This window comes from Homo sapiens, chromosome 7 (genome assembly GCF_000001405.40).
Source record: "Homo sapiens chromosome 7, GRCh38.p14 Primary Assembly".
Classification (NCBI taxonomy): Eukaryota; Metazoa; Chordata; class Mammalia; order Primates; family Hominidae; genus Homo; species Homo sapiens.
Genome location: NC_000007.14, coordinates 35,902,450 through 35,928,752, shown reverse-complemented (window position 1 = coordinate 35,928,752; position 26,303 = coordinate 35,902,450). Strand labels below are relative to the sequence as shown.

General features: G+C 43.7%; 1 protein-coding gene across 11 annotated transcripts in view; it reads right to left on the bottom strand.

Moving 5' to 3' along the window:
* Positions 1–12,989: 12,989 nt before the first annotated feature.
* SEPTIN7 (septin 7) overlaps positions 12,990–26,303 on the bottom strand; it is a 114,778-nt gene continuing 101,464 nt past the window's right edge. For 6 of the 11 annotated variants that reach the window (XM_047421095.1, XM_006715806.4, NM_001788.6 and 3 more), the window contains 2 exons: positions 25,538–25,677; positions 21,643–24,499 (listed from right to left, as the gene is read on the bottom strand). In XM_047421095.1, the coding sequence (XP_047277051.1) occupies positions 24,460–24,499; positions 25,538–25,677 (180 nt within the window). In that variant the 3' untranslated portion in view covers positions 21,643–24,459. Of the gene's footprint in view, positions 13,108–15,509; positions 15,592–16,049; positions 16,103–21,642; positions 24,500–25,537; positions 25,678–26,303 lie in introns of those variants that run through there. The other 5 variants (NM_001011553.4, NM_001375299.1, XM_011515656.3 and 2 more) reach the window with 4 other exon arrangements.

Here is a 26,303-nt window from a genome sequence, read left to right as displayed (position 1 = left end):
GTTTACTATGTTGGCCAGGCTGGTCTCAAACTCCTGACTTCATGCAATCCACCCACCTCAACCTCCCAAAGTCTTAGGATTACAGGCGTGAGCCACCACGCCTGTCCTTGAATTCATAGTTTTAATAAAAGAATTTCTTGTCTTCGTGGTCACATACAACTAGTTTGGTGATTCCCTGGAAGGACCCATGTGACTCTAGATCAAGTTATACTCTAGGTGAAGGTTTATTACAGTGGAGGATACAATACAAAGACAGCAGGAAAAAGGATATTAATAGATGAAGGCTGGAAGGTCAAATGCATACTTATCCTCTGCAGGGACAGTACAGACTTATCTTTTCCAGGAGCAAACTGCAAGGACTTGTGTGAGATGTCCTTGCCCAGGAAATCCCACTTGAGTTCTGGAGTCAAAATTTGTGTGGTTAGGCCAGGCACAGTGGCTCACCCCTGTAATCCCAGGACTTTGGGAGGCCGAGATGGGAGAATTGCTTGAGTCCAGGAGTTTGAGACCAGCCTGGACAACATGGTGAGATCTCGTCTTTATTTAAAAAAAAAAAAAAGGCTGGGCGTGGTGGCTTATGCCTGTCATCCCAGCACTTTGGGAGACCAAGGCGGGTGGATCACCTGAGGTCAGGAGTTTGAGACCAGCCTAGGCAACATGGTGAAACCCCATCTCTACTAAAAATACAAAAATATTAGCTGGGCATGTTGGCAGGCACCTGTAATCCCAGCTACTCTGGAGGCTGAGGCAGGAGAATTGCATGAACCTGGGAGGCAGAGGTTGCAGTGAGCCTAGGTCGTGCCACTGCACTCCAGCCTAGGCGACAAGAGCAAGACTCCTTCTGGCTCATGGCTGTAATCCTAGCACTTTGGGAGGCTGACGGGGGCGGATCACCTGAGGTCAGGAGGTCAAGAGCAGCCTGGCCAACATGGTAAAACCCCATCTCTACTAAAAATGTAAAAAAATTAGCTGGGTATGGTGGCACACACCTGCAATCCCAGCTACTTGGGAGGCTGAGGCGGGAGGATCACTTGAACCCAGGAGGCTGAGGTTGCAGTGAGCTGAGATCACACCATTGCACTCCAACCTGGGTGACATTCCTGCCATGTGACCAAACACAGCCCTAAACCACCAGGTTGGGCATCATGAATCTTTTATTCTTTTTTTTTTTTTTCAAAAATGGGGTCTCACTATGTCGCCTAGGCTGGAGTGCAGTGGCATGATCATAGCTCACTGTGGCTTTTTTTTTTTTTTTTTTTTGAGACAGAGTCTCGTTCTGTCACCAGGCTGGAGTGCAGTGGTGTGATCTTGGCTCACTGCGACCTCTGTCTCCTGGGTTCACATGATCCTCCTGCCTCAGCCTCCCAAGTAGCTGAGATTACAGGCACTCACCACCACGTCCAGCTAATTTTTTGTATTTTCAGTAGAGACAGGTTTTTGCCATGCTGGCCAGGCTGATCTTGAACTCCTGACCTCAAGCGATTCCGCCTGCCTCGGCCTCGCCAAATTCTGGGATTACAGGCGTGAGCCACTGTGCCTGGCTAAGCATCATGAATCTGTATGTTTACTTTAAACCTGCTGACAGCCTGGTTCATCTGGGCTCACTGTTTTGGGCGTGGAGAATAACATCTGACCCGGTAACTATGTGAATATTCCAGGAGTTTGGTTTTCAGAGTTTGACCAATGGCCACGCTTTGGCTACAGAAATAAGTGAGAAATGAGTGAATCAGACCTGTTGTGTTAACTCTTTCCTCCCACTCTTGAAAAAGGTATCTCCAGACCCAGATAGTTTCACTGGAGAAGTCTGCTCATAGTTAAAGAAATAGCAACACCAATTACACGTAATCTCCAGAAAACAGAAGAAGGGGCACTTCCAGACTGACGAGGCCAGTACAGTTGACCCTTATAACTGCAGGTTCCCCATCCATGGATTCAGCCAACCACAGATTGAAAATATTCCAAAATATGGACTCTAGGCACGGTGGCTCACACCTGTAATCCCGAGAATCACTTGAACCCAGGAGGCAGAGGTTGCAGTGAGCCGAGATCACGCCACTGCACCACTGCACCACTGCACCACTGCACTCCAGCCTGGATGATAAGAGTGAAACTCCGTCTCAAAAAAAAAAAATCACTCTGGGTGGGCGTGGTGGCTCACACTTGTAATCTCAACATTGTGGGAGGCCAATGAGAAAGGATTGCTTGAGCCCAAGAGTTTGAGACCAGCCTGGGCAAATAGCAAGACCCTGTCTCTACAAAAAAATTTTAAAATTAGCTGGGCATGGTGGTGCATCTCTACTGTAATCCCAGGTACTTGGGAGGCTGAGATGGGAGGATCACATGAGCCCAGGAGCTCCAGGCTGCAGTGATCTATGATTGCAACACTGTACTCCAGCCTGGGGAACACAGCGAGATCCTGTCTCAAAAACAAACAAAAAAACAAAAACAGAAAAAAACTCAATTCTGAAAACTTTGCCTTAACTTGTAGTCTAGAGTTGAAGACCCCTCCGCTAAGCTCTGGTGAGAGGCTAACTGAATAAGAACACTTTGACCATCATATTATAATAATTGCTTTCTCTCTTTCTTTCTTTCTTTCCCTCTCTCTCTTTTTTCTCCCCTCCCTCCCTCCCTCCCTCCCTCCCTCCCTTCCTTCCTTCCCTCCTTCCTTCCTTCCTTCCTTCCTTCCCTCCTCCCTCCCTCCCTCCCCCCCCTTCTTTGTTTCTTTCTTTCATCTTGCTCTGTCCCCCAGTCTGGAGTGCAGTGGCACGATTACAATTCACTGCAACCTCAACCTCCCAGGCTCAAGAAATTCTCCACCCCAGCCTCCTCGGTAGCTGGGACTACAGGCATGCACCATCACATCCGGCTAATTTTATAATTTTTTTTCTGTTTTTTGTTTTGTTTTGTTTTGTTTGGTTTGGTTTGAGATGGAGTCTCGCTCAGTTGCACAGGTTGGAGTGCAGTGGCGCAATCTCGGCTCACTGCAAGTTCTGCCTCCCAGATTCACACCATTCTCCTGCCTCAGCCTCCCGAGTAGCCGGGACTACTAATTTTTTGTATTTTTAGTAGAGATGGGGTTTCACCATGTTAGCCAGGATGCTCTCGATCTCCTGACCTTGTGATCTGCCCACCTCAGCCTCCAAAGTGCTGGGATTACAGGCAAGAGCCACCGCACCCTGCAAATTTTATACGTTTTTTATGAAGAGGGGCATTGGCCAGGCACCCTGGCTTACGCCTGTAATCCCAGCACTTTGGGAGGCCGAGGCGGGTGAATCACCTAAGGTCAGGAGTTCCAGACTAGCCTGGACAACATGGTGAAACCCCATTTCTACTAGAAATACAAAAATTAGCTGGGCATGGCACCGCATGCCTATAATCTCAGCTACTCAGGAGGCTGCAGCAGGAGAATCGCTTGAATTCAGGAGGCGGTTGCAGTGAGCTGAGATCGTGTGGTTGCACTCCAGTCTGCGAAACAAGAGCGAAACTTTGTCTCAATAAAGTAAATAAATAAAAAATAATAAAATAAAGAGGGGTGTCTTGTCATGTTGCCTAGGCTAGTCTAGTATTTCTGGGCTCAAGTGATCCACCCGCCTCAGCCTCCCAAAGTGCTGGGATTACAGGCATGAGAACCACTGTGCCTGGCCAGAGCTGGGCTACATATCTCTATTAAGGTTTTCATCAGGGTCAACTGGGCCCTGGCTCCTGCCCCACCCATCCTATGAGGCTGCAGTGTGTATGGCCCCAATAAAGATTCTTCCCCGAACCCCCTACCCCCAGATCTTCCTGCAAGGTTGGCAGAGTTGGATGCTCTGAAAGCTAAGGGCACGTGGGCCAACTGGCGCCTGGCCAGAGAAGGGGAGGAAAACATGTGAGGGCTCACAGGTCTGGAGTCTAGCGCCTCACTGAACACAGAACAGCCACCCCCGCGTGCAGTTGCAGGGCGAGGAAGGTCAGCTCTTGCCCCCTTCTCAACCCTCCTCCCAAACACCAAGCAGGTTTCTGAGAATAGTAAAAGGCCAGCAGACCCATCTTCAGGGCCTCTGTGATCAGAAATGTGCAAATACCTTTTTCTTTTTTCTTTTTTTTTTTTTGAGACTGAGTCTCACTCTGTCACCCAGGCTGTATTGCAGTGGTGTGATCTCTGCTCACTGCAACCTCCGCCTCCTGGGTTCCAGCGCTTCTCCTACCTCAGCCTCCCAAATAGCTGGGATTACAGGCACCCACCATCATGCCAGGCTAATTCTTGTATTTTTAGTAGAGACGAAGTTTTGCCATGTTGGCCAGGTTGGTCTCGAACTTTGGACCTCAAGTGATCCACCTGCCTCAGCCTCCCAAAGTGCTGGGATTACAGGTGTGAGCCACTGCACCTGGCCCAAAGACCTTTTTCTTCAAGCCTTTGGGAGTTAATTAAGCACCAGTATCTAAAAAGCTGTTTCTGCATCCCACACTCAGAGTGAATGGCAGAAACAGAGTCCAGGAATGCACAAGGCTGGGATTCAGATTCAGCAAGTTCTGGGATAGAAAAACTGAACCTAAAGGAAAATTGTATTGTGCACTCACCAGTACTTTGAAAGAGTGTTTCAGTACATTATAAAAAGAGGCTGGGTATGGTGGCTCATGCCTGTAATCCCAGCACTTTGGGAGGCTGAGGCAGGAGGATTGTTTGAGGCCAGGAGCTGGAGACCAGCCTAGGAAACATGAAGAGACCCCACCTCTACAAAAAACATAAAAATTAGCCAGGCATGGTGGTACATGCCTGTGGTCCCAGCTACTCTGGAGGCTGAGATGGGAGAATCCCTTGAACCCAGGAGGTCAAGGCTGCAGTAAACTATGATTGTACCACTGCCCTCCAAACTGATCAACAGAACAAGACCCTGTCTCAAAAATAAAAATAAAAAGACATGAGCTAGCTGACTTTTTTTTTTTGAGATGGAGTTTCACTCTTGTTGCCCAGGCTGGAGTGCAATGGCATGATTTCCACCTCCCAGGTTCAAGCGATTCTCCTGCCTCAGCCTCCCGAGTAGCTGGGATTACAGGCATGCGCCACGACACCCGGCTAATTTTGTATTTTTAGTAGAGACGGGGTTTCTCCATGTTGGTCAGGCTGGTCTCGAACTCCCGACCTCAGGTGATCTGCCTGCCTTGGCCTCTCAAATTGCTGGGATTACAGGCATGAGCCACCATGCATGGCCCCATCTCCCCTTCTTATAAGGACACCAGTCAGATTGGGTTGGGGCCCACCCCAATGACCTCATTCTAACTTAACTTCTTTAAAGACCCTATCTCTAAATATAGTTACATTCTAAGGTCCTGGAGGTTAGGACTTAACATATAAATTTGGGAGACGCAATTCAGTTCATGACACACATACGTCTCCAGTAATTCAACACCTAACAAAAGTGTGATTTCTTCACGTTTTCCACCGCTTTCTCTTCTCAGTTGTTAATATAAGTTTCTGAGTTTTAAAAATACCTTAGCAATTTTGACATTTAGGAAGGTTCATAGCTCTCAGATTTGCCCAGCTTGACGTGATGTTATTTTTCAGAGGGAGCAGCCTCTATTCAGCTCCTAGTCACAGCCGGCCTTTTGGAACATTCTTTCTAGCATTTGAAGGTTTCTAAGAGGTGGGAGGGGGTATCTTTTATAAGAGGTATCTTTTATACTGGGACCCTTTGAGTAATCTAGCTCATGCAAGGCATTCCTCTTCATGAAGGACTGAGCTACCTGACTTCTGACCAGAAACAGATGATTTTTTTTTCTTTTTTTGACCAGAAACAGATGGTCTGTTTGAGCCCAGGAGTTCCAGTCTGCATTGGGCTATCATCGTGCCACTGCACTCCTGCCTGGGCAACAGAGCAAGACCCCGTCTCAACAAAAAAATAAAAATAAAACATAAGCAGTAGTTAAACCAGGAGGGAATGGAGTGGGTGGGGGCATAAGGTCATTTTTTTTAAGCATATAAAAGTTTTAAAGGACTGTTATTGTTTCAACTTAATACCCTGACAAATTTCTGCTCTTGGCATGCCACCATGCCCAGCTAATTAAAAAAACATTTTTTTCTTGAGAGAGAGGGTCTCGCTTTGTCACCCAGGCTGGAGTGCAGTGGCATGAACACAGCTCACTGCAGCATCAACCTGGGTTCAAGGGATCCTCCTGCCTCAGTTTCCTAAGTAGCTGGGACTACAGATGTAGGCCACCATGCCTAATTTAAAAAAAATTTTATAGACACAGGGTCTCACTATGTTGCTCAGGCTGGTCTTGAACTTGTGGGCTCAAGTGATCAATTTTCCACCTCAGCCTCCCAAAGTGTTGGCATTATAGGTATGAGCCACTATACCCAGACTTTAAAAAATTTTTTGTAGAGATGGGGTCTTGCTATGTTGCCCAAGCTGTTCTCAAACTGTCCTCAAGCTCCTGGCCTCAAGTGATTTTCTACCTTGGCCTCCCAAAGTGCTGGAATTAAAGGCGTGGCCTGTGTGGTTCTTTTGGCACTTACACGTGGTCTTGTCTGGCCGGTCGTCTGGTCCTGTCTGTTTCTACCTTTCCTCTTTCTCCAGGGAAAACCTAAGCTTTCCTTATTTGTCCTCATTTGTGTTTTTCTGGGTCTATGGGCAGAGTAGAGTTCTGGAACGGTTTCCTAAAGCAGCCAAGCCCTACCCATTGATTTCTAAGTGCATTTAGAAAAACACATATAAGGCCTGGCGTGGTGGCTCACGCTTGCAATCCCAGCACTTTGGGAGGCCGATACGGGTGGATCTCGAGGTCAGGAGTTCAAGATCAGCCTGACCAACATGGTGAAACCCCATCTGTATTAAAAATACAAAAATTAGGCCGGGCACGGTGGCTCACACCTGTAATCCCAGGACTTTGGGAGGCCGAGGTGGGAGGATCACCTGAGGTCAGGAGTTTGAGACCAGCCTGGCCAACATGGTGAAACCCCAACTCTGCTAAAAAAAAAAAAAAAAAAACAAAAATCAGCTGGGCGTGATGGCACATGCCTTTAGTCCCAGCTACTTGGGAGGCTGAGGCAGGAGAATCACTTGAAGCTGGGAGGCAGAGGCTGTAGTGAGCTGAGATCGTGCCACTGCATTTTCAGCCTGGGTGACAGAGTGAGACTCTGTCTTAAAAAAAATGGTGGAGACTTTAGAAGGGAGACTTTTGTTAACGGATTACTGAACTACAGCTGCCCTTGGGGAAGCCTCCTGTCCTCTCTCTGGTTCATAGCGGTGCCACAGCTGTTATGTTATCTCAGATCTCCAGTTATATCAAGGAGTGACTGATAGTAATATTCTTTTTTTTTTTTTTTTTTTTGGAGATAGCATCTCACTCTGTTGCTCTGGCTGGAGTGCAGTGGCTTGCTCTCGGCTCACTGCAACCTCTGCCACCCGGGTTCAAGCAATTCTCCTGCCTCAGCCTCTCGAGTAGCTGGGATTACAGGCACCCACCACCACACCTGGCTAATTTTTGTATTTTTTTAGTAGATTCAGGGTTTCACCATGTTCGTCAGGCTGACGTTGAACTCCTGACCTCAGGTGATCGGCCCACCGCAGTCTCCCAAAGTGCTGGGATTACAGGCGTGAGCCACTGTGCCGGGCCAAGGGGGCTGATATTCTTAAAACCAAATATTTAAAAAATGTAAATATGTTAATAGAATATTCTTGAATGTTCCCAACTGTAGTTCCCAACTACAGAGCCAGTCCTCTACCTTCTAGTGAAAGCTTCCGGTGGACAAGAAAAGCTTGGGAAAGCCAGAAGGAATAGGAAGCACAGCTCAGGGTGGTCCGCGGCTTCATCAATCAAAAGGACAATTCTTTTTTTTTTTTTTTAAGAGATAAGGTCTCACTCCATCGCCCAGGCTGGTGTGCAGTGACCCAATCACAGCTCACTGCAGCCTTGAACTTCTGGGCTCAAGAGATCCTCCCAGCTCCTCCTGAGTAGCTGGGACCACAGGTGCACACCACCATGCCTTGCTAACTTTTATTTTTATTTTTTTTAATTTTTTGAGATGCAGTCTTGCTCTGTCACCCACGCTGGAGTGCAATGGCACGATCTCGGTCCACTGCAACCTCCGCCTCCCGAGTTCAAGTGATCCTTTTGCCTCAGCCTCCCAAGTAGCTGGAATTACAGGCACATGCCACCAGGCCCTGCTAATTTTTGTATTTTTGTAGAGACAGGGTTTCACCATGTTGGCCAGGCTGGTTTTGAACGCCTGACCTCAGGTGATCCGCCCGCCTCAGCCTCCCAAAGTGCTAGGATTACAGGCGGGACCCACCGCACCCAGACCCTTGCTAATTTTTAAACTTTTTGTAGAGATAGAGTCTCACTATGTTGCCCAGGCTGGTCTCAAGCTCTTGGCCTCAAGCAGTCCTCCCACCTCAGCCTCCCAAAGTGCTGGGATTACAGGCATGAGCCACCATGCCCAGCCCCAGAAGGGCAATTATTACACAGTGACAGTGGAAGGAACAGAGACACAGTCGGTGGGTGGTGGGAAGATAAGAATATTCACTCTGGGCCGGTCACAGTCCACGCGTGTAATCCCAGCACTTTGGGAGGCCAAGGTGGGCGGATCACGAGGTCAGGAGATTGAGACCATCCTGGCTAGCACAGTGAAACCACGTCTCTACTAAAAATACAAAAAATTAGCCGGGCGTGGTGGCGGGCGCCTGTAGTTCCAGCTACTAGGGAGGCTGAGGCAGGAGAATGGCGTGAACCCAGGAGGCGGAGCTTGGAGTGAGATTGCACCACTGCACTCCAGCCTGGGCGACAGAGCAAGACTTTGTCTCAAAAAAGAGAGAGAGAAAAAAAAAGAATATTCACTCTGATGGCTTCTAATAACGTTAGAGAAGTGAGCTTCAGCTGAGCAGAAGAGAGGGAGGGAAGGAAGCACAGGAGGTTTGAGGAGAGAGAGAGGAAGTATGAAATCACCGTTGCAAACCTCCTGGGGGAATATAAAGCGGTTGCCAGGCAGCCTACTTGAAGTCTGTGAATTTAAAGTGAAAGTCTGGCCAGGCCGAGCTCAGTGGCTTACTCCTGTAATCCCAGCACTTTGAGAGGCCGAGGTAGGTGGATCACCTGAGGCCAGGAATTTGAGACCAGCCTGACCAACATGGTGAAACCCCATCTCTACTTAAAATATAAAAGCTAGCCATGCATGGTTGTGGGCACCTGTAATCCCAGCTACTCAGAAGGCTGAGGTGGGAGAATCGCTTGAACCCAGGAGGCAGAGATTGCAGTGAGCCGAGATCGCTCCACTGCACTCCAGCCTGGGCAGTACAGCCAGACATGGTGGCTCACACCTGTAATCCCGGCACATTGAGGGGTTGAGGTGAGGAGGATTGCTTGAGGCCAGGAGTTCAACAGCAGCCTGGGCAACATGATGAGACCTCATCTCTACAGAAAATTAGAAAATCAGCTGGGCGTGGTGTGGTGCACGTCTATGATTCCAGCTCCCAGGGAGGCTGAGGTGGGAGGATCGCTTGAGCCCAGGAGGTGGAGGCTCCAGCGAGCTCTGATCACACCACTGCACTCCAGCCTGTGTGACAGAGTGAGAAGCTGTCTCTAAAATAAATAAACAAATGAATAAATAGATGAATAAATAAAGTAAAAGTTCAGCTGAGTGTGTGCTTTCCCAGTGATGCTTGGCTGTCAGGTGCAGACGCAAGACATCTAGCCCGTTCATGTCACCCTTGTTGAGGGGAACAATGTCAGGAGAGAGAGAGAAAAAGGAGTTTACTTATTTATTTTTTTTGAGAAGGAGTCTCCCTCTGTCACCCAGGCTGGAGTGCAGTGGTGTGTGATCTCAGCTCACTGCAACCTCTACCTCCCGGATTCAAGTGATTCTCCTGCGTCAGCCTTCCCAGTAGCTGGGATTACAGGTGCCCACCGCCACACCTGGCTAATTTTTGTATTTTCAGTAGAGACGGGTGTTTCGCCATGTTGGCCAGGCTGGTCTCAAACACCTGACCTCAAGTGATCCATCCGCTTCGGCCTCCCAAAGTGCTGGGATTACAGGCGTGAATCACCTCGCCCTGCAGGAGTTGATTTTAATTATGAACGATGATTAAGGAAGGCAGTGGACACAGAGAGAGTGACAGTGAGGTGATGAGGCCAAGTGGAGAGTTCTGGAACGAGAGAGGTCAGTGGGGAGCTGTCTGAAGTCTCCTTTCTGGGTGATGGAGGGTCCCAGGTGTGACCGCAGGCAGGGAGAGGTGGCTGAGAGGCACACTGGAAAAGGTCACTGGAGCTGCAGCAGTCCTGGTGCCCAGAGAGACAGGGAGTAGCCTGCCCTGTCCACGTGGGTGACATCACCCTCGGGGAGTAGCCTGGCCTGTCCACGTGGGTGATGACGCCCTCAGGGAGTAGCCTGGCATGTCCACGTGGGTGACGACGCCAACGTCTTGTATGAAATCACTGTTGCAAACCTCCTGGGGAATGTAGAGGGGTTGCCAGGCAGCAATCCCTCTAACGACATGACAAGAATGATGGAGAACACTGTCAACTGAGAGCCCAAGTCCTCAGTGGATGAGGAGGTGTAAGCAGAAGACCAGCAGACAGCAGTCACCGAGAGGGACAGCAGGTGACTCTGCTGCCTTTGGAAGAGAAATGTCTTGGACGCAACCACAGGAAGCATGGAGGATATAGACCCTACTTTAGATTCTGCGGTATGTGGGGTATAGGAGAAAAAAAAGACTCCCTGCACCAGATGGTGCCAGCGGAATTGGGGTCCTGAGGGGACAGTGGGGTCGGAGGGAGGGGACCCTCTTGCAAGAGGCTGAGTGGCAGTTCCAGAGCCGATGATGTCATCAGAGGAGCTGGGGCAGGATGAGGGGTGAGGAGGAGGGTCCAGTCATATTAGACAATGCACAGATCCAGGGGAAGGGCCCATGGCACAGAGGCTCTGTCCTTTGAGGGTCACTGAACCAACAGGGGAAGGTGAGGCATGAGGAAAATAGCCGTGGATGTCCAGCCACAGTGGCTTACACCTGTCATCCCAGCACTTTGGGAGGCTAAGGAGGGTGGATCACCTGAGGTCAGGAGTTCAAGACTAGCCTGGCCAACATGGGGAAGCCCCGTCTCTACTAAAAATACAAAAATTAGCCGGGCATGATGGCGGGCACCTGTAATCCCAGCTACCTGGGAGGCTGAGGCAGGAGAATCACTTGAACCCAGGAGGCAGTGGTTGCAGTGAGCCGAGAGCGTGCCACAGCACTCCAGCCTGGGCAACAAGAGCGAAACTCTTTCGGGAAGGGGAGAGGAGGGGAGGGGAAAGGAGGGGAGAAGGAAGGAAGGATAGAAGGAAAGACGGAAAGAAGGAAGGGAGTGAGAGAGAGAGAGAAAAGAAAGAAAGAAGAAAGAGAGAGAAGAAAGAAAAAGAAAGAAAGAAAAAGAAAGGAAGAAAAAAGAAAGAAGGAAGAGAGAAAGAAAGAAAGAAAGAAAGAAAGAAAGAAAGAAAGAAAGAAAGAAAAAGAAAAGAAAAGAAAAGAAAAAGAAAATAACCGTGGATGACCTCAGACGGCTGCAGGTGACATTTCAAGCTGTGAGTTTGAGGGGTGTGGATGCTCCAGGCAACTGTGGGGTAACTGCGCCCTCTGGTGGCCATATATGGCTAAAGCAAGTACAAGTCCAGACTCACACCTGGAGAACAGGTGCCATTGCCTGAAAGCAACAGTAACCACGACAACAAGGCCAGGTGCAGAACCCAGGTCTCCCCTCATTATTAGAACCTGTGGAGAGATCATGAACGTATTCCCCGATAAGTTCATTTTTAGGGGTAAAAAAGCTCAACAATCTCCCACAGTGTCACTTCTCCCAGGAATATGTGTATGTTGCCCTTGACAAACTGTTGCCCTTGACGAAGAAATGTACCAATTTCCAATGGCAGCATATTTAATTGAGGAAAGATCTCATTAACAGATGTAAGTGCAGGGTCTCAGCATCAGAATTTCCCTTCAGTGTTTTATTATAAAAACGTTTGGGGTGTGGGGCTTACACCTGTAATCCTAACAATTTGGGAGGCCAAGGTGGGAGGATCACTTGAGGACAAGAGTTTGAGACCAGCCTGGGTAATTAGCCAAATGCAGTGGAGCGCACTCGTAGTTTCAGCTTCTTGGGAGGCTGAGAAGGGAGCATCCCTTGAGCCCAGGAGTTGAGGCTGCAGTGAGCTAGGATCACATCATTGCACTCCTGCCGGGGAAACAGAGCAAGACCCTGTCTCTAAAAAATAAATGAATTAACACTCTTAAGAAATGTTCAAACTTAATGAAAAGTTGAAAGAATTTTGCAGTGAACATCCATACCCACCCCTGAAGTCTACAATTATCATTTCATTATGCTCAGTTTATCATATAATCTATTCAACTATCCATCCCTCAAACCATCCTATTTGGAGGCATTTCAAAATGAATTGCAGCATTAGTACATTTCACCCCTAAACACTTCAGCACACATAACAAGACTCTCATATTTATTTATAGTCCTTTTTAATTTGGACATAAAATACGCATATAGGTCAGGCGCTGTGGCTCAAGCCTGTAATCCCAACACTTTGGGAGGCCGAGGTGGGTGGATCCCTTGAGCTCAGGAGTTCAAAATCAGCCTGGGCAATGTGGTGAAACCCCGTTTCTACTAAAAATACAAAAATTAGCTGGGTATGGTGGCACATACCTGTAATCCCAGCTACTCGGGAGGCTGAGGTGGGAGAATCACTTGAACCCGGGAGGCAGAGGTTGAAGTGAGCTGAGATGGGCTGAAATCTGCTTCCTGGGAACACTTATCTTGTTGATTTGGCACCATGCACCACATGAAGTGAGTTCTGATTCCTCTTCCTTATAAAAGCTCTTAAACTGTCCAAAGATGGCCATTCTGTCCCTTTGAGTCACTTCATCTGACACAGAATCTGCAGTTTCTCTACCTGTTCATGCCCCAGGCAAAGCTTCCAGCACTCAGCACTTCACTGGCTAGGCTTTCATGTTTGCAAGGGTGCTGACACATCTCATCTTTCTATGTCAGTGGAAGAAAAGAGACGGTTCAGAGCTGGCCTGCAGTGACAGAGGAACAAGGCCTGTTTGCGGTGGATATGATTGGATGGCCAGGACAGGAAGCCAGGACCTGGAAGGAGAGCAAACAAAATGAGTTTTTCAAAAAGCTAGATGACAGTGGAACCATGCAGAGATGAAAAACGGTGCAACAGGAAACTAGGAAAGCAGAAAACAGAAATAGTGTAATTTCGTAACATTAACAGAGGTAAGTAACATGACATTAGTGATATTTCACAGGGGATATTGGTCAGTGCCTGCAGCAAAATGTTTGAATGCCTTTTAATTGCAAAATTAATGCTTGCGTAAGTTTTCTTTGTTAAAAAATGAAAACAATTCAGATAAGTCTAAAATGTCCCTGGTCCCTACTGTCCTTCCTTCCCTACCCAATTCCAGAAGTGTGTGTGTATGAGCAGGTGCATGGGTGAACATTTGCATGTGTGTGTGTATATATATATATGTGTATGAGCGATCTGTGCCTTAAGGGCATGTTCCTGCTGCAGATAACTAGCCAGACCCACCCCTTTATTTCATATATGTATATGTGTGTATATATATGTACACATGTATACATGTGTATATGCATGTATATATACACATGTATACATGCACCTGTGTACATACGCATATATACATATATGTACATGCATGCATCTGTGTATATATACATATATACATATATGTACGTGCATGTATACATATATGTACACATACATTATATGTGTACACACGCATGCATATGTGTACATAAATATATGTAGGTATGCATGGATACGTGTGCATATACATATGTGCAAATACATATCTATATACACATATCTACGTGCACATACATATCTATGTACACATATCTATGTATACATATATTTATGTATATATACACACACGTACATATCTATATACTTGTATGCATATATAGAGAGAGAATGAAAGAGAGAGAATAGAGATTTATTGTAAGGAATTGGTAAGGAATAGGTATGTATACATAGGTTTATGTATATATACATATGTGTACATAATCTATATATATTTATGTGTGTGTGTGTATATATATATATAGAGAGAGAGAGAGAGAGAGAGGGACAGAAAGAGAGAAGAGAGAGAGATTTATTGTAAGGAATTGGGTCACACAATTGTGGAAGCTGGCAAGTCCAAAATATGCAGGCAGGGTAACTCCAGCCATCAGTGTGGAGACCCAGGGAAGAAGTGATGTTGCACCCTGAGTCCAAAGAAAGCCCGGAGGCATAATTCCTTCTTCCTTGGGGGAGGTCAGCCTTATTTCTTTTAAGGCCTTCAACTGATTAAGTGAGGCCCATCCCACTATGGAGAGTAATCTGTTTTATTCAAAGTACACTGATCTAAATGTTAATCTTACCTAAATAATACCTTTACAAAAACATCTAAGATAGTATTCAGCCATGGCCTAGCCATGAGATATTTAAAATTAACTGTCACAATATGGAATGCATATAAACATTCCTATATAATTAAAATATGCTATATTTTGTGTGCATTATTTAAATGTTATTATAGCATATGACCTGCTTTTATCACTCAAAGTTATGATTAGAGTTCTTTCTTTAATAGGAAATAAAGGAATACCTCATTCTTTCTCAATGTTATGCTTAGACGTATTTCCTTAAGAAGAAATAAAGGAATACTTCATTCTCGCTTTCTACATAGTATTCTGTTCTATGGCTATATCCTGATTTATTTAGCCATTACTCTAAAAATTGGCATTATATTATTCCCAGCTGGTGAGCTGCTTGATCGTGAATTCAAGCAAACTTCTTGAATTCTTTTAAAATGGCGGTCAATATTCTGTTCCTGGGCAGGTGCAGTGGCTCATGCCTGTAATCCCAGCACTCTGGGAGGCCAAGGTGTAAGGCTCACTTTAGGCCAGGAGTTTGAGACTGGACTAGGCAATGTGGTGAAATCCTGTTACTACAAAAAATACAAAAATTAGTTAGGCATGGTGGCATGCATCTGTAGTCCCAGCTACTGGGAGGCTGAGGTTGGAGGATCGCTTGAGCTGAAGAGGTGAAGGCTGCAGTGAGCAATGTTCAGTGCACTGCACTTCAGCCAGGACACTGGAGTTGAGAGAAAGGAAGGAAAGAAGGAAGGAAGGAAGGAAAGAAGGAAGGAAGGAAAGAAAGAAGGAAGGAAGGAAGGAAAGAAGGAAGGAAGGAAAGAAAGAAGGAAGGAAGGAATGAAGGGAAGGAAGGAAGGAAGGGAAGGAAGGGGAAGAAAGAAAGATGAAAGAAAGAGAGAAAGAGAAAGAAAGAAAGAGAGAGAAAAAGAAAGAAAGAAAGAGAAAGAAAGAAAGAAAGATAAAAAGAAAGAATTTTGTCCCAGGAAGAGGGCCGGCCTGATGTGGTTCCAGCAAACTGACACAGGCCAAAGTGTGCATGTTACAGAGAAGATCAGGAGGGTGTCAGGACTTCCAAACACCTGGAGCAAATTCTGGAGGCCCACCTGTTGCCATTGATGTGGCAGATCCCAGCATACGAGGAGCAAAGGAGAGATGACCTTCTTGTGGCTCTGAGAGTCCATAACCCTCTGAGGAAGATTAAGCAACAGGCACATTCTCACATTTATTTAATCTTTAACACCCCTACTGGCTAGGTATTGTTAACTGAATATCACAGATGAAGGACCCAAGGCCAGAGAACTAAAGGCTATGCCTGGCCTAATACCTTTTCCACTACAGTGCTCCCTGATGGTGGACTTTCATATCAAAAAAGCACAAGCAGTTACAAGCAGTAGCAGTAATAGAAGTAAAAATGATGGCAATAATGCCATGCAATAGAATGCTTATTATATGCCCAGCTGGGTTCTCAGTGTTTGGCGTGTAGCAATTCAATGAATTTCTGCAACAGCGTCATAAAGTAAGTACTATTATTAATTCCATCTTGCAGATTAAGAAACTAAGTGTGGCTGAGAATATAGATGGCAGACATTTCCTTCAGATCTTACAACTTAGAAGGGCTCTGGATAATTTGCAATTGCTAGTACCTGTGTCTCTTTTTCTGGAGGCCTTTTTCTGATGCCAGGAAGGTCCGCTGTACCTGCTTTCAAGGCAAAGAGAAGTGCCGAGACCAGCTCAGTCGGGGAGACTCTAACCCAGTGGTGCTAGAGGAATTAAAGACACACACACAGAAATATAGAGGTGTAAAGTGGGAAATCAGGGGTCTCACAGCCTTCAGAGCTGAGAGCCCCGAACAGAGATTTACCCACATATTTATTAACAGCAAGCCAGTCATTAGCATTGTTTCTATAGATATTCAATTAACTAAAAGTATCCCTTATGGGAAATGAAGAGATGGCCAGAAATAAAGGGGTGGGTCTGGCTAGTTATCTGCAGCAGGAACATGCCCTTTAGGCACAGATCGCTCATGCTATTGTTTGTGGTTTAAGAATGCCTTTAAGTGGTTTTCTGCCCTGGGCAGGCCAGGTGTTCCTTGCCTTCATTCCGGTAAACCCACAACCTTCCAGCGTGGGCGTTATGGCCATCATGAGCATGTCACAGTGCTGCAGAGATTTTGTTTATGGCCAGTTTTGTGGCCAGTTTATGGCCAGATTTTGGGAGGCCTGCTCCCAATATGTCCCCCTTCTTTGATTTGCAAATCGATAAAAGCAAAGACAGCTTTGTCACGGTGAGCTACTTCTCTCAGGAGTCAGGATCCACATCTGCAGGCTATACAAGACAAACAACACAGATTAAAAGCACAATCATCATTGAAATCACAGAGCTTCCAAGTGTTTGTATCCATTTTAATGGGTTACTAGCTGCTAATCTGTCTGCAGCTCCTTTAAGCACTCCAGATCCTGGCATTAAGGTCGGGTGTGTCTGGGATGCTTTAAATATTCTTTTAATTTTGCAATATCCAAAAACAAGTTTGTAGAGTGTCTTTCTAGATGCTTTTTTATTCTTTCCCAAATTTTGATCTTACTAAGAGCTATTAATAGTTTCCACAAATCCTTAATGTTTAGCTCCTACAGTGGGCCATATCATTTGAGGTTGAGGTGTCACTATACTGCCACGGTTCCAGATAATAGGAACTCTTGCCATACTTCTTATTATATGTACCATCTGGCCGTTTTGTTCAGATCAGCTGAACATAGTGTGGCCGTGGCACACGGACTGAGAGGTGCAATTTAAGCTAAACATCCCCTTAGGGGATCAATTAATAATGATTCCATAGGAATCATTGTGCAGCATCTCTGCATGTTCTGCAATGCAATCTTCCTAAACAAGTACGTTCATTTTTTTCTGGCCAGGTCCAGTTCTGTTTACAAATAGGTTTTTGAGGGCAGTATGCCTCAAATATAGGAGCAGATTTGTTATGGTAAATACTGAGATCAGAAAGCATGTGTAACTGCATCATAGAGTGATTACATCCAGGCATTATTGCCAGCCAAGATTGATAAATATGCCCAATAAGTATAATTGTTCCCTGTGTCAGCCCTTATTGAAGGAATACTCACAGCAGTGGTGATTACCGCTATCATAGCTACCATTAAATTACTCATTGTGACTGGTTGTCCTGCTTTCTTCAGGTTTTCTTCTGCCATCTGTGGCAGCTTCTTGGTCTGTCCCCAGGTGGGTGGCTGTGTTTGATGGGTGTTGCTCGTGACAGTTGGGGTCCTCCTCAGCATCAGTCTTGACATGGCTGCAACCAGGGGGGTCCTCAGGATCCTTCCAGAATCTCTTCCTTGGCATCTGGTTCATGATAAGGTTTCAGGTGTCTTGATGGTATCCAAATCGACTGCTGGTTCTGGCCTGGAGAAACACAAGCATAGCCTGTACCCCAAGTTATTATTTTACCTATTTCTCAACTTTTTGTTATCGGGTCTCTCCACCAAACCAGTTGTTCTGCTTCTGTCTTTGCAGCTGGTTTCTGTAGATGCTGTTCAGCTACTGATAACATCTGGCCTTTCAGCAGGCTCAAAAAATTTGAAGTTAATAATGCTAGATTCAGTTGTATATGGGCTGTCCCGTAATCCCTGTTTCTCCCCCTTTTTTGTTTTTGTCATCAGTTATTCATCTGTTTGACATTGTAACTGAGCATTTTTAATTAACTGTGTGGAATGAACCACATATGAAGAATCAGAAATCACATTAATAGGCATATTAAAAGCAGTCAATACCTCAATTACAGCTACCAGCTCTGTTTTTTGAGCTGAAGTATAGGGCATCTGGAAAACTTTAGTTTTTGAACCAGAATAAGAAGCTTTACCATTACTAGACCCATCTGTAAAAACATTATCAGCACCTTCAATTGGTTTAAATTTAGTTATTTTAGGGAGAATCCAATTAGCTAATTTCAAAAACTGAAATAGTTTCATTTTAGGAAAATGATTATCAAGAATACCCAGAAAGTCAGCTAAATGGGTTTGCCAAATAAGACTATTTATAAAAGCTTGCTGTATTTGTGCCACCTTTATTTAGTACGCCCGCTCTTGTACAGCTCCTTCATGCATTGAACAGGACTAAGCTGCATTAGCAATAGCATATTGGGAAATCATGTGTGTGACTCTCAGAGCTGGGTCATAAAAGCCATGTGGCTTATGCCTTGCTCTCTCTTGGATTACTTGCTCTAGGAGAAAGCCAGCCACCATGTCACAAGGCCACTCAAGCAGCCCTGTGGAGAGGTCCATGTGGCAAGGGGCTGAGGCCTCTTAACGTCAACTTGCCAGTGATGTCAGTGAGCCATCATGGAAGCAGATCCCCCAGCCCCATTGAAGCCCACAGTTGACTGTAGCCTCAGCCAACATCTTTACTGCAAGGCACCCTGCCAGACCACCCAGCTAAACCGCTTAATTCCTAACCTGCAGAAACTAAGATAATGAATGTTACTATTACAGATTGTTGTGGTTTAAATTTTGTTGCCAGGATTGAGGGGCATTTATTGTGGAACAATGGATAACAAATACAAATGTTATGGAATCACACCGTGATATTTTAGCTTGCTTGTTTTTATAAAGAGGTGGAAATGCCCATGTCATAACCTTCTCAGGAGCTCTAGTTCACAATCTATGTGAATGCTCTGTATTTGGCACACAGCAAGTACTCCACAAACACTTGTTGCAGCACTTTTCAATTTTGTTTCCTTCCCTTAGACTTCAAAGTGAGTTCTCTCTCCCTTGATAGGCAGGTATTTTTCCCAGTTTGAATACTGTCTAAAACATTCGCATTTGGTGGGATGAGTTCATCAGTTCTTACAAGTTGGAGAAAAAAACCTATCTCCTTTTCAGGACATGAGCTATAATCAGGCCAATCATACCTGAATGGAGACTACAGAAAGTGGATTTTTATCAGCGGCCTCCATTCCATCTTCCAAAGCACCTGACTCTTAGGGATGGGGTCTAAATAGGCACTAATGAGGTGGAGATTTGAGAAAATGCCAATTTGAGTTCCTGGCACCTCTGCCCAGCAATAAAAAGGTCTAAGGAAGATTTCATTTGTGTCTGGGTGAGAGAACTGTGTTCCCAAAATATTGAATACAACATTTAGTTTTGTTTTTTAACTTTATCAGGGTAAGCCAGAGATTTGTATAATCACATTGAGAGTTATCCCTAAGGAAAAAAAAATTGGACAGCTCCTATTATGTCCCACCGATATATTCCGACTTCTGAAATGCAGGGAAAACAGCTCACATTAACACCAGGGGCCATGCCAGAGTGCTCATTACTTCACTCACCATTTGCCAAGTTGCTTAAAACTACTGGCTTATCCAAGACACAGGGAACTTTTCTGTGCTACGCTAGAGTACAGCATATATTTAAATATGAAAGAGATCATTAAAAATTCAAAGACAACAGAATTAAATGAGGGGTAAAAAAGTTGTATGCCTTTGCCAGAACAAGTTAGTTTGGTATCCCCACACTTGGGTGAGAGCCAGCCCCTCACCCAGGGGAATCTGTGCTCTACTTACGTGCAAATCTCCCGGTGAAATGCTGCTCCCTTGCAACACACTTGGACAAAAGGGAGCTAAGCGGGGTGGCCCACCTCGAAGAGAGAACAAAGAGAACAAAAAGGAAGTTTGTTGGTAGTGTCTGACTACCCCCCCTCTGCTAGCCTCCTCATCTATGCCACATCTTCACAAACCTCTGCTCTCAGAGGTGTCAGCTACTGCCTCTTCCCACCCCCATAGGGTTTCAGAAAGCCTGAGTGGCATTCGATTTCGGCAGGTCCACAAACAGCATCTAAAAGAGGTTCCGTGTGGCCAATAGGGTTTCAGGCTACCCTTTTTGAGAGCCTGGCGCAGAACAAGGTCTCCTTTCACTTGACCCTCCTTTGCCAATACAAGGCTGTTTGGCTGGGTCCAGCACCCCATGGGGCAAATGTTCAGGCCAAGAATAGTCTTCATTCTTCCCATGAAGCTTTCAAAGTCTTCTAAAGAACACAGGAAATTGTCAGCCTCTATTTTCTGCTGAAAATGGCTGACACTAAACTTTGAACATTCTGTGGATGAATCCCAAATTATGGGAACCAAGTTTGCTTGAAAAGCAGCAAAAGTTTTCATTAAAGATGAGAGACTCTGATAAACCATCTCGGCATTACTTACAAAGAATGGTGTATTTTATAACTCCAATTACTAACACCTTTCCTCTTTTGACCAAAATTACCTTATTTCCATGGAAGTAACTCCAAAAGACTATCTCTGTGCACAAAGAAGCAGATCCAGAGACTTACCATGGCACCATGCACATTTCCTAAAAATAAACCGTCACTAAAACTGAGAAGAAATACTTTTTGGTCTGTCATGACCCCAGCAGATTGTCACATTCTCGAGGTCTGGACACCTTAACGTGTGCAGTCACAATGTAATCCTCACTCCAAACCAGCAAGGAAGGCATGGGGTCTGTTTTATAGCTGAGAAAACATTCATAGAAGTTACATGCCCAATTCACAGAGTTGGGGTCTAAACTGAGACAATTAGCATGTCTGGTGCTTTCTGCTTCTCCAGGCTGCCTGGTGGCCAGCTGCCCCTCTTAATCAGGGAGCATCTGCTCTGTGCTAACAACTCTGTAGAAGATCATGCTTCAGAAATGTGGCAGTGTAGCAGACCAGGTACTTGCAAGGCGTAATATTTAAGCACAGGCCCTGGTGTAACTAAGACCAGTTCAAACTCTTGTTCTGCCAGTTACCACCTATTGAATAAGCTACTAAACATCTTAAACCCTCAGTTTCCTCATCCTTTTGCAGATGAGGAAACAGGGTTTAAGATGTTTAACTTATTCATTTATTAGATAATGTATTAATAAGTTACCTTAAGAGATAACTTACCCAATTGTTATCATTAAGGATTAAATAACACATGTAACTACTTAGGTTACCATCTGGAACAGGACAGTTATGGGAAGTTTTTATTACAAAAGGGGCAGGTAAAATTCTGGATGAAGTACAAGGGCTTACATTTGCAAGCTTATTATTAGAAAGGACTTCGATTTACTGGTGTGGCAAATTTTCCTTTCAGATCAAGTAGGACACCACAGCAGTCTTCACTAGGACCTTCCTTGGTGATTCAACAATAACTATTAACTATCCACATACTGCCTAGATCGATGGCCTCCAACGTGCAAAGTAATAATTCATTGGAGCTTGGGGAAAGTGTAAACCTTTTATTTCACTCTTTCAAATTTTGTTCCATAATGTTCACATTAGTGTAGCAGTACATTTGTTGACACATATTTTCATTGTTCAATACATATAATTATGGACACATGCTCAACAAATATTTTTGTAAGGAAATAGCATCAGGTTTGGAGACCATGATCTAGATAACTGAGTCAACATTTCGCTCCTCATGCATTCATAGCTATCAAGCCGTCTTTCCTTTTTCCCCCTTACCTACCATATCCTGACTTCTACTCCTAGTTTCTCCAAGAGGACAAAACATATTAAGATGCGGTGGGTCAGAATGTGCAGGTGGTAATGTGACACCCAGCTAATGAGTCTGAGAGGCATGGGTATCTCCTCAGCTTTCAAGATTACAGCCTGAGCTACACAGAAATAAACTGTGCCCACTTAACTTGCTTGTGAACCTGATATGGAAGCAATGATATCCCATTCCACTAGGTGGCAGCAAAACTCTACCCACAAGGTGCCCAAGTGGTTCACTGGTATTATTAGTGCTTACTTGTTCAGCCCCACTTAATTAGCAGAAAGACAGTGGCTAACAGGATACTTAAATTACATAATGCCTCCAACAGTGGAGAACAGACACTGCCATTTTGCTTTCTACAGGCTGGCCTTTCCTTAGGCCTACCTGAATTTTACATGTATTGTGAATGATCTTCTCAGACATCCACAGGCCAAATGGCAAAAAGAACCTTCTGATATACCTAAGCCTGGAGTCAACAATCAAAAGTCCTAGTAAAGTTATATAGATCCTGTATCAGATTCAGGTAAAACCCTGGGCATGCCATGGATAAAGAAAGACTTCTGAAAGTTTTCATTAGGATGGTAGAATAATGAATGTCTTACAAATTTATTATTATAATACATAGAATTTTGAAATAGTATTTCCCAGAAGCAGTAGTACTTAACCAGTTCAGCAGGCAGTCTATATACATTTTTTACCTTTGCATTTTCCAAATTCAGTAGGTTATTGTTAGCCTCCCTAAAACCAAACAATTTTGGCTAGAGGTGTTAACCCAATCTCTCAAAACAAAAACTGAAAAAAATAAACACCCAAACAACAATCTCTCTGCTATTGACTTATAATTATTCCCTCCGCTTAGGTCATTAATTTTAAAAAGTAAATAGGGTAAAACATTTCAAGATAATAAACTAGGCTACATTAATTAATTTCTTACCTAAATTATGCATTACATTAAAATCTATGTCACTTGACCTTAAGAAAAGAAATGACACTACCCTCTTTACAGTTAAAAAAAATTTCAGTTTCCAGGGACTTGAGAGTATACCTAATCTGAATGAGTCAGAAACTGTTCTCAGAGGCCAGGCATGACGGCTCATGCCTGTAATCCCAGAACTTTGGGAGGCTGCAAAAAATACAAAAATTAGCCAGGCGTGGTGGTGCACGCCTGCAATCCCAGATACTCAGGGGGCTGAGGCAGGAGGACTGCTTGAGCCCAGAGGGTTGAGGCTGCAGTCAAGTCGTGTTTGTGCCACCGCACTCCAGCCTGGGCAATGAAGCAAGACCCTGTCTGGGGGAAAAAAAAAATGTTCTCAGAAAAATAAGCATACAAATGAGAGATAGAAATGAATAGAGAGATATGGTATCTCTTAAATTAGAAAATCAGCACATATGCATTCTAAATGAGACAAGCATATAAAAGATGTCATTGTAGAGGAGGCAAACTTAAGCTGAAAAGTTTCTTCCCAAACATACTCTACTCTTGTACATCGACTGTAGGATATTTAAGACCTCACACAATATTACATCACAACATCGTTTATTATGTGAATTTTTTACAATACAAACAAAAAATACAGAAATGCAATATATGAATACAGCTAAATGCAGAATGGTGACTTTTTTCTCTTCAAGAGGCCATGATTCCCATTTCTAGTAAAATAAAGAGACTGCATATAGGTAGAAACAGGTTGGTCATTAGCTTCACAATTTTGCCTAGAAATGATCTATAAATGCATTTCCCCCCCTGCTACTTACCATAAAGTGTAAAAAGGGAGTTAAAGGAAAGTTTCCTTGTTGGTTCCTACCATATGAAAGATGCTATATTCTATTTTAGCAGTGCCAATATATGGAAAATATCTAAATTAAATGTTATTACAAAAATGAAGCAGTAATGAGATTCTGGCTAAAGAGGGCACTAAATGAGAATAATATATATTTAAAGAATCCAAAACAAACAAACAAAAAGACGTTGTTATAAAAAAGCTCTAGGTGCACAGTAAGCATATAGGGTTTTTTTTTTTTCCATGTGTATTTTTAAACAATGGAAGTGTCAAAAAATAGGGTCAACTGTGTTAGACTAAATTACATTATTGTATATGCTGCACTGAATGGAACCTTTGTATTGTAATTATCATAGAGAAGCACAGTTTGCATCATATTATGGCAATTTATCCTCAATGAAAATCTTCCAGAGTCCTTTTATTTTGGAATATCCTGTAAACAATCAAACCACCAGAACATGATTGTACAACAGTAAAATGTTCTCTTGCATTAAACTGAAGATATCTGTTTAATAAAAAAAGAAAATGTAGGAAAGGTACTTAGAGCTCTTACTTTCTAAGTACAGAACACCCTAGACAATTCAAGGCATCTTAATCTCCATCAAGAACAAAAAAAAAAATAATTTTTGTCATGCTGTTAAATCCATCATTATGGATAAAACTGGTGCAAATTGGTCAAACGGATCCAACAAACACTGATGTCCAAGCTGGCATATTGGCAACTAATACGTTAACTGGTGGTCAATAGAGAGTTTAAAAGATCTTCCCTTTCTTCTTGTTCTTTTCCAAGGTTCTAAAGGATAAAAGGAAAATAAGCAAGATGAGTAACCATTTTATAAACATGATAGACAACATGATAACAACAGCTAACCCAATTACAACAATGTTGGGATTTTCAGATACTACTTTTTCACTGAAAAAAATTAAAAGATTTAGAAGTAAACAGCTAAGACAATGTTAATCTATAATAGCATTTTCTTAGACAATCAAATATTTGACAAAACTCCAGGATAAGCAGTAAAAAAATAAGGCAAAACTCCATTTTAATATACAAGAACAATTCTTCCCAAATGAAACAGCACAAACTAAAAAGTATCAACTGGCAGCAAACAGGGTATTCTTTTTCCCCCACTGTCATTTGCATTTTGAAGTGCAATTGCTTTCACAAATCTATTTTCCTCTTCTTTGGGGAAAATGTTAACAGTAGGGTAGTGTAGTAGAACAAATGTCAAATCTGAAAATGTTTAGTAATGAGGATAAACTATATAATCCTTATAGGAATGCCACTTTTCAGTTTTAAGTGAAACTATTAAGGAAAAGAAAACCAAGGTACAAATATTATTGAATTTTGTATAAATTAAGAGAAAGTAATTGATTAGTTGTATTGGAAATCAAATATCTAACATTTTGTCTTAAGAATTTTATCGTAAAAACATAATTCAACAGTTAAAACATACCCCTAAATATGTAATAGATTTTGAAGAATGTTCCCTTTGTGTGCCAAAAATTGAAAACAACCCTTATGTCCAACAACTGGGGGGAGGAGGTAAGAAATCCAATGAAGGTAAGTTAACTGGGGAGAATGTTATGAAGTTGCTAAATCATAATTATGAATATTAAGTCATGAAAGATGTACTGAAAAAATACTGCTAATGGACACAGACTGTATCCATCCATATAAAAATATTTATCTATGAAAACCATTGTGTTTGGAATGCATGATAATGGGTGATGACTTTTTAAGTGTTATTCTAATGTTTTTTAAATAAGTAGGAAAACAATTCTTTAAAACATTAATACACACATTTCTTAGTAATCTGCTATTAGTTACCTTGAAGAGTTCTGTTGTTCTAAAATACGTTGTTGAGCTTCCCAGTTTGCTTTCTCATCCTCGAACTGACGACGTTTTTCCTCCAATTCTTTGTGCTGTGCTTCCAAATTCTTTTTCATTTGCTCATGGCGCCGCTGGAGCTAAATCATAGCACAATATATAAAACAAAACTATTTAAGAAATCAGAAGCAGAGGTATGTTTCATCCAGACACCCTAATGATAAGGAGTATGAGCACTATTTGAATAGCCCTGTTGTAAATTCAGAGTACTACCTGGAAGTACTCTGGTCAAGGACTCCTCCTCCTTTAGGACCTGCCACCCAAAAGGCCAGTGACCCAAGACAATAATCTTGGGAAACAGGAAAAAAAAAAAAAGCAACAAACTTAACAGTGTGGAGTACTTTATAATGGAAAATTACTATCTTATCTCGTTTTTCTTTAATCACAAATATGTTGGAGGCTGGGCAGTGAACACATCACTGTTCTCATTGTACAGATGAGGAAACAGTTGCAGAATTTAAGTGACTTGCCCAAGATTGCTAGCCAGAAAGTGGAAGAACCAGGACTTGAATAAGCCTCCTAATTCCAAGTTTAGAAAGCTAAGACAAGTGAAAAGAAAGCAGGTAGTTTAGGACCCTAAGAGCTCAAAGATGCCAGCAAAGTACTCTGATTCCTGTAAGCAGTGGTTCTCAGACATTGGTCTTCATGCAAATCACCTGGGATGTTTGTTAAAAATATAGAATCCTGGACCTCACTCAGACGTACT